General features: G+C 45.5%; 1 long non-coding RNA gene across 3 annotated transcripts in view, besides 1 other annotated feature; it reads right to left on the reverse strand.

The window, feature by feature from the left end:
* Window positions 1-8,547, reverse strand: part of LOC105379336 (uncharacterized) — a 73,813-nt gene extending 65,266 nt beyond the window's left edge. For 2 of the 3 annotated variants that reach the window (XR_001745851.1, XR_001745850.1), the window contains exon 1: window positions 8,410-8,547. This is a non-coding gene — a long non-coding RNA (uncharacterized LOC105379336). Of the gene's footprint in view, window positions 1-5,104; window positions 5,476-8,409 lie in introns of those variants that run through there. The other variant, XR_001745853.1, reaches the window with a different exon arrangement.
* Window positions 13,621-13,680: a silencer, noted in NCBI's record as "silent region_19037". NCBI's record gives its function as "represses an Ori minimal core promoter by ATAC-STARR-seq in GM12878 lymphoblastoid cells {active_cell/tissue: GM12878}" and the evidence as "EXISTENCE:reporter gene assay evidence [ECO:0000049][PMID:35858748]".

Here is a 15,427-nt window from a genome sequence, read left to right on the forward strand (position 1 = left end):
TAGTTTCCTACCCTGTATCCATCTCCCCTTCCTGCTGACCAGCAACACCCAGACTTTGTTTAGGATAGTACTGCTGTCAACTAAAAACACTTGCCTTCCCAAACTCCCTGGGAGCTGGGTATTGAGTTCTCTGTTGCTTGCAGCCTAAGTGTATTTCTGAGTGCTTTATCTACACACTAAATGAAATATGAAACTGAAAACCACTGTCTCTGACAGTAGGTAATATGTAAGCACTAAGGACAGAAAGCATTCAAAAAGAACAAGTAAGCAATGCTCTCTAGGTGTCCACAAATTGTCTTAGCCAAGTGTCCAAGTCCCAGTTCTCCAGGACTGAAAAAATGGAAAATCATAAACTTTCAAATGAATGATGAGGTAGAAGCTGGAATTTGCAGTCAGGCCTAGTGGCATGTGCCTGTAATCCCAGCTACATGAGAGGTTGAGGCAGAAGGATCCCTTGAGCCCAGGAGTCAGAGCACAACCTGTGCAACATAGTGAGACCCCATCTGTAACCAAAAAAAAAGACAAAAAGAAAAAAGAACCTTGGAATTTGCAGTATTAATTTAAAGAAAATAAATTCCTTATGCCTCTTATACAACTGTAAAACCAAGGCAACATACATGTTAAGTCCTAACCAAGATATAAACCCAATAATATTTTAAACTAACACAATAGATCCTGTTTTGCTAAACTAACACATATAAAAATAGCCTGTAGCCTGAAGTCCAGCTCTTTAACTGGCCTATATTTTGACTTCCGTTGGGCAGAGAACCTCTGTTTACACAGTTTAGTAAACACAATGGCATTAATGATTTCAAGACTTTGTTTGCTAGTTCAAGATAACCCAACCCCATTGCTTAGCCAAAACTCTGCCAACAGGCACTCTTCAGTGTCAGTTTAATGTGGTGTCATTTGATCTCTGCAAAACAGTCTTGTTCATTTGAACATGAAGTTAACATTGCAGCTTTATTGAAATCTGCACTAAATAAGTATCTAATCTAATTATTGCTGGAATTGGTTACAGAAAATTTCTTCATGGTGCAATTACTACTACACCGTAGGTAATGAACTGCTGCCAAGCTGGTGTGCTCAGCGATGGATTCCACGTAGAACATCTGATTGTTCTGCAAAGACAAGACAGATGCCCTGACCCAGGGCTTTTTGAGGGCACATGCCCGTTCTATTTTAGGATAAGTAATGGTTTCAGCCAAGCTCGTCCAACCTGCAGCCCACGGGCCTCTTGCAGCCTAGGACAGCTTTGAATGCAGCCCAACACAAACTTGTAAACTTTCTTAAAACTTTATGAGTTTTTTTGCAATTTTTTTTTTTAGCTCATCAGCCATCATTAGTGTTCGTGTATTTTATGTGTGGCCCAAGACATTTCTTCTTTGAATGTGGCCCACGGAAACCAAAAGATTGGACACCCCTGATTTAAGCCATGTCCGCCACAGCCCCATCCCACTTTCCCTATTTGAACAACTAGAAAACTCTCATTTGTAGCTGTGACATTATTTGAGGCACTATGTTGTGGATGGTTGAAATTGTGGCCCTAGTATCACAGTGCCTGAGTTCAAATCTTGGCTCCACATTTTACTAGCTCTGTGGTCTTTGGCAAGTTACTTACCCTCCCTGTGCCTCAATTTTCTCATCTGAAATAGGAGTAAAAAGAGTATAATCTTCGAGAGTCACTGTCAGGATTGCACAACATAATAGAGGAATTTAGAAGGGTGCCTGGCACACAGAACACGCTCAGTACAAGCCTGCTGCTGCCACAGCTGCTGCTATTGTTTGTCCATTACTTGGTATGAATTCAGACACAGACACTTCTGATATTGCAGCTCAAGCACCAGCACCTTCCGGAAGCTTTTCCTTACATATTTGTTCCTGGACGGTTGGAAGTCATCGCTCTCCTCTGAGTCCAGTTGTGCCCTGTACAGTCTTCTATCACAGAATATGTAAACTGTAAACATTCTTTTTTTTTTTTTTTTTTTTGAGATAGGGTCTCCCTCTGCCACCCACGCTGGAGTGCAGTGGCATGATCTCAGATCGCTGCAACCTCTGCCTTCCGGGCTCAAGTGATCCTGCCACCTTTGCCTCCCTAGTAGCTGGGACTAGAGGCACCCACGACCACGCCCGGCTAATTTTTCATATGTTGTTGTAGAAACAAGGTTTCACCATGTTGCCCAGGCTGGTCTTGAACTACTGAGCTCAAGCAATCCACCCACCTTGGGCTCCCAAAGTGCTGGGATTATAGGTATAAGCCACTGTACCCAGCCTATAAACATCAATGACATTTGTAGTTTCGTCTCCACCACCTGGACCACAGGTTCCCACTGCCAGAGATGAATTCTGACCAGTCTTTGTATCCCAGTTCCTGGAACAATGTCTAGCACATTAGCTGTCATCAGTAAATTCTGACAGAAGAGAGAGAGAGGGAAGAAAAGAGGAAGGAAGGAAGGAAGGAAGGAAGGAAGGAAGGAAGGAAGGAAGGAAGGAAGGAAGGAGGGAAGGAGGGAGGGAGGGAAGGAGGGAGGGAAGGAAGGAAGGACTAGAGCGTCCTCCAGCCTTTCCCAGGAGATTTATATTTCAAGGGAATCTGAACCTTATAAATCAAGCTTGCAGACTAGCAGGCTTCCTCTATCACGAAGGGACCATTTGGGGTGAAGGTAGGAACAGTATCCGCCTGCTAGAGTCTGCTCCCACTGGCTCCCAGGAGCTGATTATGCACGACTCTTCCCAAGCCCACATTCAGAGCCAGGGTTGGGAAGTCTGAAATTGACCAGTGGTTAGGAGACATTTACACCACGGAAACATTTCCCAGAGCCAGCTGTTCAGCACTTCCCAGCACACCACGGGCAACAAGGCTTCTCTGTGACTCCGAAAGCAGTGAAATTTTGCATACTGAGTGGTAGAAAACTGTGGGGCACAGAGGGGATCTGAAAGCAGAGGCCCCATCTGCCCGCGGCAGAGGCCAGTCTGGGTGGGCGCCAGGCCTCTGTGCATATGCGACATCCTGGCCCTGGTCACGTCTCTTGGGCCGCACCTTTATCATCCTCATCGAAGTCATCACGGAAGCATCCATGGAGATGTTTATCTTGTGATTGCCGATTGTTTCTAATCTATTAAAAGTCAACTAATAATAAAACTCATGATGTTAATGACTTACTAGTCATAAACCCAAACAATGGAACAAACTATTTGCTTAATATTTTTATGAGAGAATGTGCACGTGACCTTGCAGCTTGGTGCCAGTTACATTTCTATTTACATAGAGACTGGGGACAATTAGAACGTTTATCTCACTTAGTCACTGGTCACTCCTGCCCCCTACTTTCCCCTCCCTCTTCCCAAAAGAAATGAAAAAACGTTTTCATTATAAACTGATATCTGTTGATGAAAGCAGCTATTTTTAAAAAATGATGTCATAGAGCCTAGAATGCTACATTGTTCTGAGTTCAGAAAAGACTCAATGGATTCCTTAGTTGTTGCCCTTGCTGGAGGTTAAGTGAATGCTGAGTAACCCCCCCACCCCACACACACATCTCGTCCCTTCTACTCATTTTCAGAACTGTTATTTGACTCCTCAGGAAACTTGTTTATATTTTTCATAAATAATATATGTTTTTATATAGTGCACACACATATAACCATCGTTTTCATTCTTTAAAGACATTCAAAATTCCTTATTTAGTTTTTGAAACAGGGTCTTGCTCTGACACCCGGGCTGGAGTGCAGTGGTGCCCGATCATGCCCAATCATGCCTCACTGCAGCCTTCACCTCCCAGCTCAAGCAATCCTCCCACCTCAGCCTCCTAAGTAGCTGAAACTACAGGCTTGTGCCACCATGCCGGGCTAATTTTTAAATTTTTTTGTAGCTATGGAGACTCCCTATGTTGCCCAGGCTGGTCTTGAAATTCTGGAGTCAAATGATCCTCCTACCTCAGCCTCCCAAAGCACTAGAACTACTAGGTCCGAGCCACTATGCCCAGCCCAGATTTCCATGTTTCGTAAACTCCAATTCAGAATATTCCTGTTATGTAAGCCTTTTTTTTTTTTTTTTTTTTTTGAGACAGGGTCTCACTTTGTCACCCAGGCTGGAGTGCAATGACATGATCACAGCTCACTGCAGCTTCAGCCTTCCAGGCTCAAGCAATCCTTCCACCTCAGCCCTGGTACTGCAGGTGTGCACCACCACGCCCAGCTAATTTTTGTATTTTTTGTAGAGATGGTGTTTTACCACGTTGCCCAGCCTGGTCTCAAACTCCTGAGTTCAAGCAATCCACCTGGCTCAGCCTCCCAAAGTGCTGAGATTACAGGAATGAGCCGCCGTGCCCAGCTATGTAAGCATTAATCTGTACACTTCAGAAATGTTTACTTATTCTACAAACCCTGAATAAATCCCAAACACTATTTTCTATAGGATACCCTCAGATGTAGAGAATGTGATTTGTTTGTTTGTTTGTTTGTTTTGTTTTGAGACAGGGTGTTGCTCTGTCACCCAGACTGGAGCGCAGTGATACAATCATGGCTCATGGCAGCCTCAATCTCCCAGACTCAAGCAATTCTCCCACCTCAGCCTCCCAAGTAGCTGGGACTACAGGTGCATGTCACCACACCCAGCTAAGGTTTTATTTTTAACAAAAAGAAATAAAAAAGAATAACCTCCCCAACAACAACAAAAAAAGACATCAATCATGTAGCAACAAATATTTACTATCTCCCTGTACTGGATTAGAAAGTTACCTTTATAAGCCTTTTATCTAACTATATCCTTTCAAACAATATGAGGAATAAATCAGCCTTCTGCAAGAATAATATTTTATAAGAGAAAAATCTCTTATATTTTGAATGCCTGTGACCCCCCAGATCCCATGTTTAACATGCAGGGATGCTGTGTTTGTGTGACTCCAGTAATGTGTGCATTATAGGCATGAACTGCTGAGAAATTGAATTAGTGCTTGTGACAGGGACTGGAGGGATATCCCAGAAAACTCACAAGCAGTCAGTTAGCCTTGCCTGAATCCTCTTCAGTGTGCCTCAGGTTTAATTTCACACACACACACACACACACCCCTCCACTCCCTTTCTTCCAAAACATTTGCCATACCTTGCAGCATCCCCACTCCACAGTCACTGTACTTTCCTATATTTGCATTTTCAGCCTCCTGCTTGAGTGGATTCCCAGCTCATGGCTTTAGGTTAAACCTCGCTGTCTCCTGAGTCTTTCAAGTGTGGCCACTCATCCTGCCACACCACAAAGCCCTGGAATCTGGAGAGGGACTGGAGCCCCTTCATGAGCTTGTGTTGCTTGCAAATTAATAGAGGCAGGAGGCAAAGAAATCCTAGGAAGATAGGGGTGGGTCCCCAGTGAAACCCCACCTTCAAGCCAAAAACAGCCTAAAACCCGCAGACCAGAGTGAGAACTTCTATTCTTGTTTGCCTGCTCTCTCCTGATTGGTTCTTTCTGAATAATGCCTTTCAACCAATCAAATGTTGCCTTTTCCAATACTACCTATGACCCACCCCACCCCCATCCTGTGCCTATACAGATCTCAGACTCAGTCGGTAGAGGGGAGACAGGGAGACAGCCTGACTTCAGGGAAGAGAACTCCCGACTTCGGGGGAAGATGACCTGCCCTTCCCATTCCCTCTCCAGCTCCCCTCTCTACTGACAGCTGTTCCATTGCTCAATAAATTTCTCCGCCCTCACCATCCTTTAATCATCAAGCGTCACCTCATTCTTCTTGGGTGCTGGAAAAGAGCTCAGGACCCACCGAGTGTGGGTACCCAGAAAGACTGTCACACTGGCCCTTTGCCCTCACTGGCAGAGGGCAGCTCCCTCACACAATGGGGCCAGGGACTGACCGAGCTGCTAAAACACCACTGTCCATCTGGCTATGGATGGCAGAACTAAGAGAGCTAATTAGCATATTAACACCCCCTCTGGGGCTTTCAGGTGGTGGGTACCCCTGCCTGGGCACTGCCACGTTCCTCTTGAGGTAACACTCCTGGTCTGGCCATGGGCCCTGCATGGAGCTTGCTCCTGTGGTGGGCTGGATCCCACACTCGCTCACTCACGTATTCCCACTTGCAAGGGGCTGAGCACAGCAGGCTGAGTAGATGGGGCGTCCCTGCTGGGAGTCTGGCAAAGGGGCAGAGAAAAATCCTGCATCAAAATCATTACTCCTTCACTTTTATGTGAAGGCTCCTACTCATGCCATCTGACCCTACCCAGTGACGCCATCCACCTGCATGCCTGTCACTCCTCCTCATCGAAGACCTCATCCATGGCTCCTGGTCTCTCTTTGAGCTGAGTTCTGCTTTGGTTTGGGTAACTTTACTCTAATTCCGACAAGCTGCCCAATATCTCAACTTCCTGAATTTTGCAGCTCCAGCATCCTCTCTTCCAAGCCACTTCTGACATTCATTGTTGTATGTCCACATCTGTTCAACCTCTGATGTTTGGGATTCAAACATTCTACCATCCATGCTTATTCTCTCATTTTCAGTGCCTTTGTATTTGTCTATGGTGGCAATACTGATTGCCCCAAACCTTAGCAGCTTAAAACAACAATTTATGAGCTCACACAGTTTCTGAGAGTCAGGAATCCAGGAGCAGCTTAGCTGAGTGGTTCTGTTTCAAGGCCTCTCAGGACGTTGCAGCCAAGATGCTTACCTATTTCCTCCATGGCTCACTTACACCCCTAGCAAGGTAGAGTTGGTTGTTGGCAGGAGACCTCAGTTCCTCACCACATGGGCCTCTCCAGAGGGATTCTTGAGTGTCTTCAAGACATGGCAGCTAAGTCCCCCCAGAGCAAGTGATCCAAGAGACAGCACAATGAAGCCAGAGTGTCTTTATAACCTGGTTCCTTCTGATTTTTTCTCCATGTTAGAATGGAAGCACCAAGTCCAGCCCATGCTCAAGGAGAGGTGAACTAGGCTGCATCTTTTGAAGGGAGTACCAAAGAATTTGTGAACATAATTGAAGCTATCACAATCTAGACCCCATCTGGTCCATCAGTTCAACTACTCTTCCTTTCTTAGTCCCACTACACCTGTTCTCTGATTCACTGAGATTTTTCGATCCTCAAAATTTCTTTTTTATTTATTTATCTTTTTTTTTTTTTAAGATAGAATCTCTCTCTGTCACCCAAGCTGGAGTGGCGCAATCTTAGCTCACTGCAACCTCAGCCTCCTGGGTTCAAGTGACCTTTGTGCCTCAGTCTCCCAAGTAGCTGGGATTACAGAAATGTGCCACCATGCCCGGCTAATTTTTGTATTTTTACTAGAGATGGGGTTTCACCATGTTGCCCAGGCTGGTCTCGAACTCCTGGCCTCAAGTGATTTGCCTGTCTCGGCCTCCCAAAGTGCTGGGATTACAGGCATGAGCCACTGCACCCTATCAAAATTTCTAATTTCTATGGGTAGCTGGATGCAGTGGCTCACATCTGGAACCCTAGCACTTTGGGAGGCCAAAGCGGGTAGATCACCTGAGGTCAGGAGTTCGAGACCAGCCTGGCCAACATGGCAAAACCCCATCTCTACTAAAAATACAAATATTAGCCGGGTGTGGTGGTGGGCACCTGTAATCCCAGCTACTCAGGAGGCTAAGGCAGGAGAATCACTTGAACCTGGGAGGCAGAGGTTGCAGTGAGCCAAGATCATGCCACTTCATTCCAGCCTGGACAAAAGAGTGAAACTCCATCTCAAACATAATAATAATAATTTCTATGGGCCTTTTCCATTTTTATTTCCCTTCTGCATACAGTTGAGACCCCATCTGGTCCATCAGTTCAACTACTCTCTTGCCAATATCCTCTTTTTTTTTTTTTTTTTTTTGAGACGGAGTCTTCCTCTGTCACCCAGGCTGGAGTACAGTGGCGTGATCTCAGCTCACTGCAAGCTCCACCTCCCAGGTTCACGCCATTCTCCTGCTTCAGCCTCTCCAGTAGCTGGGACCACAGGCGCCTGCCACCGCGCCCAGCTAATTTTTTATATTTTTAGTAGAGACGGGGTTTCACCGTGGTCTCGATCTCCTGACCTCGTGATCTGCCTGCCTCAGCCTCCCAAAGTGCTGGGATTACAGGCGTGAGCCACCGCGCCCGGCCTATCCTCACTCTTTTATTCACTCTTTTATCATCCTTGTATAGCCTCCATTGTTGGGGGTGGGCTTTGGTTCCATCCAACTGTCCACCCAGCCTCCATCACCCAGACAGGGAGCACTGATGGAGCCGATCACACCCAGGGTCTGCTGAACAGTGCCCACAGCTTCCGGTGTTCAGTGGGCCTTCAACACAGCACAGCCTCCTTCTATTTCCAAATCAGCAGTCTCCGCTATGGTCGTTTTGAGCATTGCCCATTTTCCCTCAGTCTCCTTCAACACTGTGACCACATTCCCCCTTGGTTCCTTACCTCTCAGACCTCGGACAGCGCCCCTCATCCTCCTAAGCTTGCATCTAAAACCTTCGCAAGGGTCCTACTCCTCACTCGTCCTCTTCGGTCACAGATGAAGCAACAAAGAGGTGCTGTGGCAGGCCAGCTGTCACTAACACAGGCCTCCGTAACAACTGTTTCAGCACTGACTGAGTGGTTAAGTTAAATATTAAAAGCTGAGAGAGCCAGCGCCCTTATCCAAAGGCTGGGATGTAACAAAATCCACCCAGAGCTTTGCCTAGGCCTTTCCTGGGCCTTGGAGCATGATAAGATAATGAAGGAACTCCGAACAGGACCCGTTTAGGATTTAAAACATTTTATTGGGGGTCTGAAGAAACTCTCCAGGCCTCCACAAACAAGTTTATTTGGGTTCTGAAAGAACTACCCTAACCTCCATAATTTAGCAGGAGACAAGATAAGGGTAATCACCCCAGCACCTGGACCCATTTAGATTAAGTAAATTTACTGAGGCTCCAGAGGAAGGTCTTCAGGACTTAGTTATAGACGAAAAGAAGTTAATCACTTATGTCTTTAGATGGACGCACACTTAAACACGTAGGCATATAGCTTAGAAGGGATCTAAGCTCTGGAAAACTTTGTCATTTTGAGTTGGTCTGGCGATAATTTCCAGGCCTTCTCCCTGTGACCGGCTACAGAAATAAACTCTCTTCTCTCCCAGTTCATCTGTATCTCATTATTGGGCCGTGAGAATAAGCAGCCTGACCCTCGGTTTGGTCTGGGAACAGTGCATGATGAAGACCCAAGTCTCCTCGTGGCAGACACTTGAGGAAGATGTGTTAACAAAAGAAAAAGCAATGAACCTGAACTCCAGGTCCTATCACTTCCCAACTCCCCCTGCCCACCACCTCAAAGACCTCATTGCATCTCTGGTCCTCTCTCTGCCCTGCATCTTCCCTCCTTACACTCGCTCTTTCCCACCAGCATTTAGACATGCTCAGGCCTCGTCTACCTTAAAGAAAAAGCTTCTCCTTTGGTCCACATCCTCCTTAGGTTCACATGCTGTTGTTTCTCTTTATACATGATATTTTTGAGAGAGTGACAGAGAGGGCTACATTCACTCTCTCTGTTCCTTACCTAATTTTCTTTCTGGAACCCATTCAGCACTCCACTAAAATGGCTCTTGCCAAGGTCACTGCCATGGTGCCAAAGCCGTCTTCTTGCCTCCTCATCTTCAAGGTCCTTGCAGCATTGACACAGGAGGCCACACCACCTGCAAAGTTTCCTCCCCAGCAGTTTCCCTGTCTTCACATTTTCCAACCACTGCTCCTGGCAGGCTCCTTCCCCCGGCCTGTGAATGCTGGGGTTTCCCTGGGTTTTGTCTGTTCCCCTCCTTCTTTTTTTTTTTTTTTTTTTTTTTTGACATGGAGTTTCGCTCTTGTTGCCCAGGCTGGAGTGCAATTGGCGCCATCTCGGCTCACCGCAACCTCTGCCTCCCGGGTTCAAGCGATTCTCCTGTCTCAGCCTCCCGAGTAGCTCGGATTACAGGCATGTACAGCCACACCAGCTAATTTTGTATTTTTAGTAGAGACGGGGTTTCTCCATCCCTACAGTCGGTCAGGCTGGTCTCGAACTCCCGACCTCAGGTGATCTGCCTACCTCGGCCTCCCAAAGTGCTGGGATTACAGGCATTATCCACCACGCCCGGCCCAGTTCCCTTCCTTCTTAGCTTGCACAGTTCATTCATTCCCATGGCTTATTGATAAATCACAAGTCTATATTCCTAGTTTGTATTTCTTTCTTACTACCCACTAGACATGTTGTCCTGGAGATCCCATAGCCCCTGAATACTCAATAAAGAGGCAATATAGTAAGTGATTAAAAGTGAGGGTTCTCGGGAGGCAGAGCTTGCAGTGAGCCAAGATCACGCCACTGCACTCCAGCCTGGGCGACAGAGCCAGACTCTGTCTCAAAAATAAAATAAAAAATAAAAAAATAAAAAAAGTAAGGGTTCTAGGCCAAATGGTTTGGTTCAAGTTCAAGTCTTTTTTTTTTTTTTTTTTTTTTTTTGAAACAGAGTCTTACTCTGTTGCCCAGGCTGGTCTGCAGTGGCCCCATTCTGGCTCCCTGCAACCTCTGCCCTCTGGGTTCAAGCAATTCTCCTGCCTCAGCCTCCCGAGTAGCTGGGATTGCAGGCGCCCACTACCATGCCCAGCTAATTTTTGTATTTTTAGTAGAGATGGGGTTTCTCCATGTTGGCCAGGCTAGTCTTGAACTCCTGACCTCAAGTAATTCACCTGCCTTGGCCTCCCAAAGTGCTGGGATTATAGGCGTGAGCCACCATGCCTGGCCCCTGGTTCATCTCTTGGCTTATTATTAGTGATGGAGCTGAGATAAATTACTTGATTTCTGTGAACCTCCACCTCCTTATCTGTAAAATGAGGGATAATAAGAGATCCCAACTCATTAGTTAACTGGGTAAATAAGTCAATTAATGTAAAGTTATTGGCATGGCCTCTTACTGGCCTGTGATACTAGGGCTCAGTAAATGTGAGTTATTATTGTCAGAATGAAAGGAGACAATGAGTGAACAGCACGTGGCCCATAGTGAGTGTGGAGAAAATATTGTTTGGTATCATTACATCCCAACTTGAGCTTATTTCTCTGGACTTCTTTGTCTCACTCTGAAAAGCCTGCTCCCCTCCAATGTTCCCTCGCTCCGCAGATGGGGTCTTTATGCTCCCATTTTCCTACACACACACCTCCCCCCCGATATCCAAGCAATCACCAGGTTCTAGCTGCTGGGCCATATTAATCCCTTGCCAATCAATCTACTTCTTTCCATCCCTGGTTCCAGCCTGTAAGTGTCTTGTTAGGGACTGAATGTTTGTGTTATCACCTCAATTCACATGTTGAAATCCTAACCCACAATGTGATGGTATTCGAAGGTGGGGCTTTCGGATGGTAGTTAAGTCATAGGAGTGGAGCCCTCGATAATGGCATTAGTGCCCTTATAAAAGAGACCCCAGAGAGCTCCGGAGCTCTTTCAGCCACCTGAGGACACAGTAAGAAGACGGCGGTCTCTGAACCAGGAAGTGGGCCCTCACCAGATACCAAATCTGCTGGAGCCTTGATTTGGGGTTTCTCAGCCTCCAAAACTGTGAGAAACAAGAAGCTGGAGATGATTGCAACACCTCTTCCTTGCATTAGGGCAAAGCTTCCTCCTGATCTCTCTGCCTCTAGTCTTGTCCCTGGCCAATCCATTCTTCACACTGCAGCAAGAGTGACTGTCCAAAATGCGCATCTAATCCAGTGATTTCCCTGAGGGCTTCGCTTTGCCCTCAGGCTGAAGTCCAATTATCTAATTGGATTGCAAAGCTTGTTAAGGTATGAACTTTGCTTTCCTCTCCAGAGTCAACTCCCAAACTCATTTCACTTTGTTTCTAGATACTGCTTTCTGGAGCCTCTGTATCCAGTGTTTTCTTCTAGAACCTCCTCACCTCACCACCCGGGTCCTCCAGCTCACTGCTTGGATGTCACTGGCACTAGGAAGTTTATCTGATTGCCACCAAACTAGATAGGGTGGTTGCCTCCTATTTACTCTCCTAGAAATGCCACCAAACTAGATAGGGTGGTTGCCTCCAATTTACTCTCCTAGAAACATGTGACTCTGCTGACAGTTATCACACTGTTTATAATTGCCTGTTTGTTTTCCACCTTTAGACCATAAAAGTCACCAAATAATGGTTAAATGCATATATGGGCAACAAACAAACAGCTGCTCTTTATCCTAAGTGGCCTGTGACACTGTTAGTGACTCTTGCAACAACGTGGGTGGCCCTTTTCCAACCTCTCCCTAACAACATATGTGCAATGCACCACCAGGCATACAGGCAGGAAATCAGGAGAGCTGAGTTTAAGTTGTGTCTTTGCCATTTACTAGCTATGTGATCTTGGTAAAGCCACTTACACATTTTGAGTATCAGTTTCCTCATCTAAAAAGTGGGGAAAATATGGCCGGGCACAGTGGCTCATGCCTGTAATCCCAGTACTTTGGGAGCCCAAGGCGGTGGATTACTTGAGGTCAGGAGTTCAAGACCAGCCTGGCCAACATGGTGAAACCCTGTGTCTACTAAAAATACAAATATATATATATATATATCAGGTGTGGTGGTGTGCACCTGTAATCCCAGCTACTCAGGAGGCTAAGGCAGGAGAATCATTTGAACCCAGGAGACAGGTTGCAGTGAGCTGAGATCATGCCACTGCACTCCAGCCTGGGTGACAAAGCGAGACTCTGTCTTAAAAAAAAAAAACAAAAAAACAGGGAGCGGGATGCAGAATAAGCTCCAATAATGTCTATGTAGCTTTGTAAACTGCAAATCACCACGTGGTGCCAATTCCAACTCTTTCCTTTTTTCGGTTCTTGGTTTGCCCTCTTTTCTGCCTCAGACTCTCTCTTGCTTTCCTTTTCTTCCCCCTCCTCTTGTCCTGCAGGGGCCCCTAAGACTTGGCTGATGGCCTCTCTCTCATGGTTATCAGAGCACCCAGGGACAGAGGGTTACCATTCATTGAGGAGGAGCCCAGAAGAGTCTAGAACTGGTCAGCCAGGACACAGAGTCTGAGCTAACACTGACTCCTGGAGTGTTGCTTTGTCATTTATTCACTAGAGGCCTGCTTCCCCCATCCTTGAGATGCTCTGTGATTTTCACGTAGAATTCCCAGAGCGGCGCCTTGCTTCTCATCCTAAACACTCAACATCGTTATCTTTCAGAGACCCCCTGCAGGAACTTTCCCTTCTTTGAGTCAAATTTTTCTGCAACAACTAATGTAGCATTTAAAATGAGAAAGTTAGAAATTTGAGGATTCCTCTTAAGGCAAACACAACAGCTGGAGAGAGAAGAAACAAAGTGGTTTTAAACACTTCATGTGTGCTAGGAGTGTTACATATATTTATTTCATTTATTGACAACTGTGCAGGTGCATATTATTTTCTTCTTTTTATAGATGGGGAAACTAAGTTTGAATATATTATTTGCCTGAGAATACATAGCTGGTAAATGATAGATTCAAATCCAGTTTAGACTCCATAGCCGAGGCTTTCTGTAATAGAAAAAGTGTTTTTAATTCACTTGTTGTCAAATTTCTCCTTACCAGCAATTCAGAAATTACTTTTTCCCGTTTTCATTGCATATCCTAAGCCCATGTCAATTCTAAATAATCTGCCTAGGCTATAGAAGTATTCAACTTAAACTGTGGGTTGACTAAAGGCCATAGGGGACTCATGCCAAGAAGCTAGAAACTTGAGAATGGTATAAGCAGGTCACTAGCTCTCTGTGGTCACAGCTACTTCCTATAACTTCACTATTCTTAGAAACAACAATATAAGGCTGAGACGCACGCTAGTGGCCAGGAGGGAGATGATGGGGTTAGAGAAGAAGGAAGAAGGGGAAAGGCTTTCCAGTGTGGTCCAAAGCTGAGATGGTGGTCAGCAACTCATTCATTGATTACTGCATAACATACAATGCAGTTAACTAAACGGGGTGTCAAAGACCATAATGCATTAGAAATTCAGAAAAGGAGGGTCCAGTAGAAGACAAGATAACTGCAAAAGCCCTCAGCTGGCCAAGCACTATGGTATTTTTTGGTGGGTTCCTCACTCCTCTCCGGAGTAAAGTGCCTCGTTACGTACCTTTGCAGCCACTCTCACCGAGAGATGGAATCTATTTCCCCACCTCTTAAATCTGAACTTGTCTTGTGACCTTTTTGACCAAGAGAAGGAAGCAGGTGTGGCTATGTGCCAGTGCTGAGCCTACCCTTCAAGAGATCCACTCTTGTGGAGCTGTGCTGCTACCATGTGAATTAGCCAGGGCTAGCCTGCTGGATGAGGAAAAACACATAGCCCAGTTGCCCCCATTAACCCAGCCAATGGCCAGAGTACTCTGCAGCTGATTGAAGGTGCATAAGAGAGTCCAATGAGGAACAGAAGAACAAGCCGGGCATGGTAGCTCATGCCTATAATCCCTACTGTTCTGTAATCCCTACCTACTCTGTTCAAAACTACTGTTCAAAGGATTTGGGGTACATCATTAAACAAAACAAAAAACAAATCCCCATCATCTTAAACTTTCATTCCATTTGGAGACACAGATAAAAAAGTAATAAGTCTAACAAATAAATGATACTGGCCAGGCGTGGTGGCTCACGCCTCTCATCTCAGCACTTTGGGAGGTCAAGGCAGGAGGATCACCTGAGGTCAGGAGTTCAAGACCAACCTGGCCAACATGACAAAACCCCATCTCTACTAAAAATACAAAAATTAGCCAGATGTGGTGGCACACACCTGTAATCCCAACTACTCAGGAGGCTGAGGCTGGAGAATTGCTTGAACCTGGGAGACAGAGGTTGCAGTGAGCTGAGATCGCGCCACTACACTCCAGCCTGGGCAACAGAGTGAGACTCCATCTCAAATAAATAAATAAATAAATGATACCATATGTTAGAAAGTTTTAAGTGCTGTGGAATAACTAGAACTGAGTGAGGGAGTAAGAAACGTGGAATGGACTATGAATATCAGTTTTAAATAGGGTACTCAAGGTAGACACTTTGGGAGGCCAACGCAGGAAGATTGCTTGAGCTTAGGAGTTTGAGACTAGCCTGGACAACAGAGTGAGACCGACCCAATTTCATATATATATATGCGTATATATGTATATATACAAGTATATATATATATATATATATGTGTGTGTGTGTGTGTGTGTATATATATATAAAATGGAAGAACCATTCACTGGGCCCAGCATAAATTTCTGATAAGCCAATTGAGAAATAAATAAATGGTGGTAATTTTAAGCCTCTAAATCTTGATGTGGTTATTACACAGCAATAGCTAATGGATATAAGCACTTTAGAGCCTCAATATGAGCCTGTTTCCTCATCTGTTAAACTGGGATAAGAATTTTTTCCCCGCAGACATTTGGAGTCACTAAGCTAATAGGACACCTGTAATAAATGTTGCATCAGAATAAGCACAAAA

Source organism: Homo sapiens, chromosome 8 (assembly GCF_000001405.40).
Source record: "Homo sapiens chromosome 8, GRCh38.p14 Primary Assembly".
Lineage (NCBI taxonomy): Eukaryota > Metazoa > Chordata > Mammalia > Primates > Hominidae > Homo > Homo sapiens.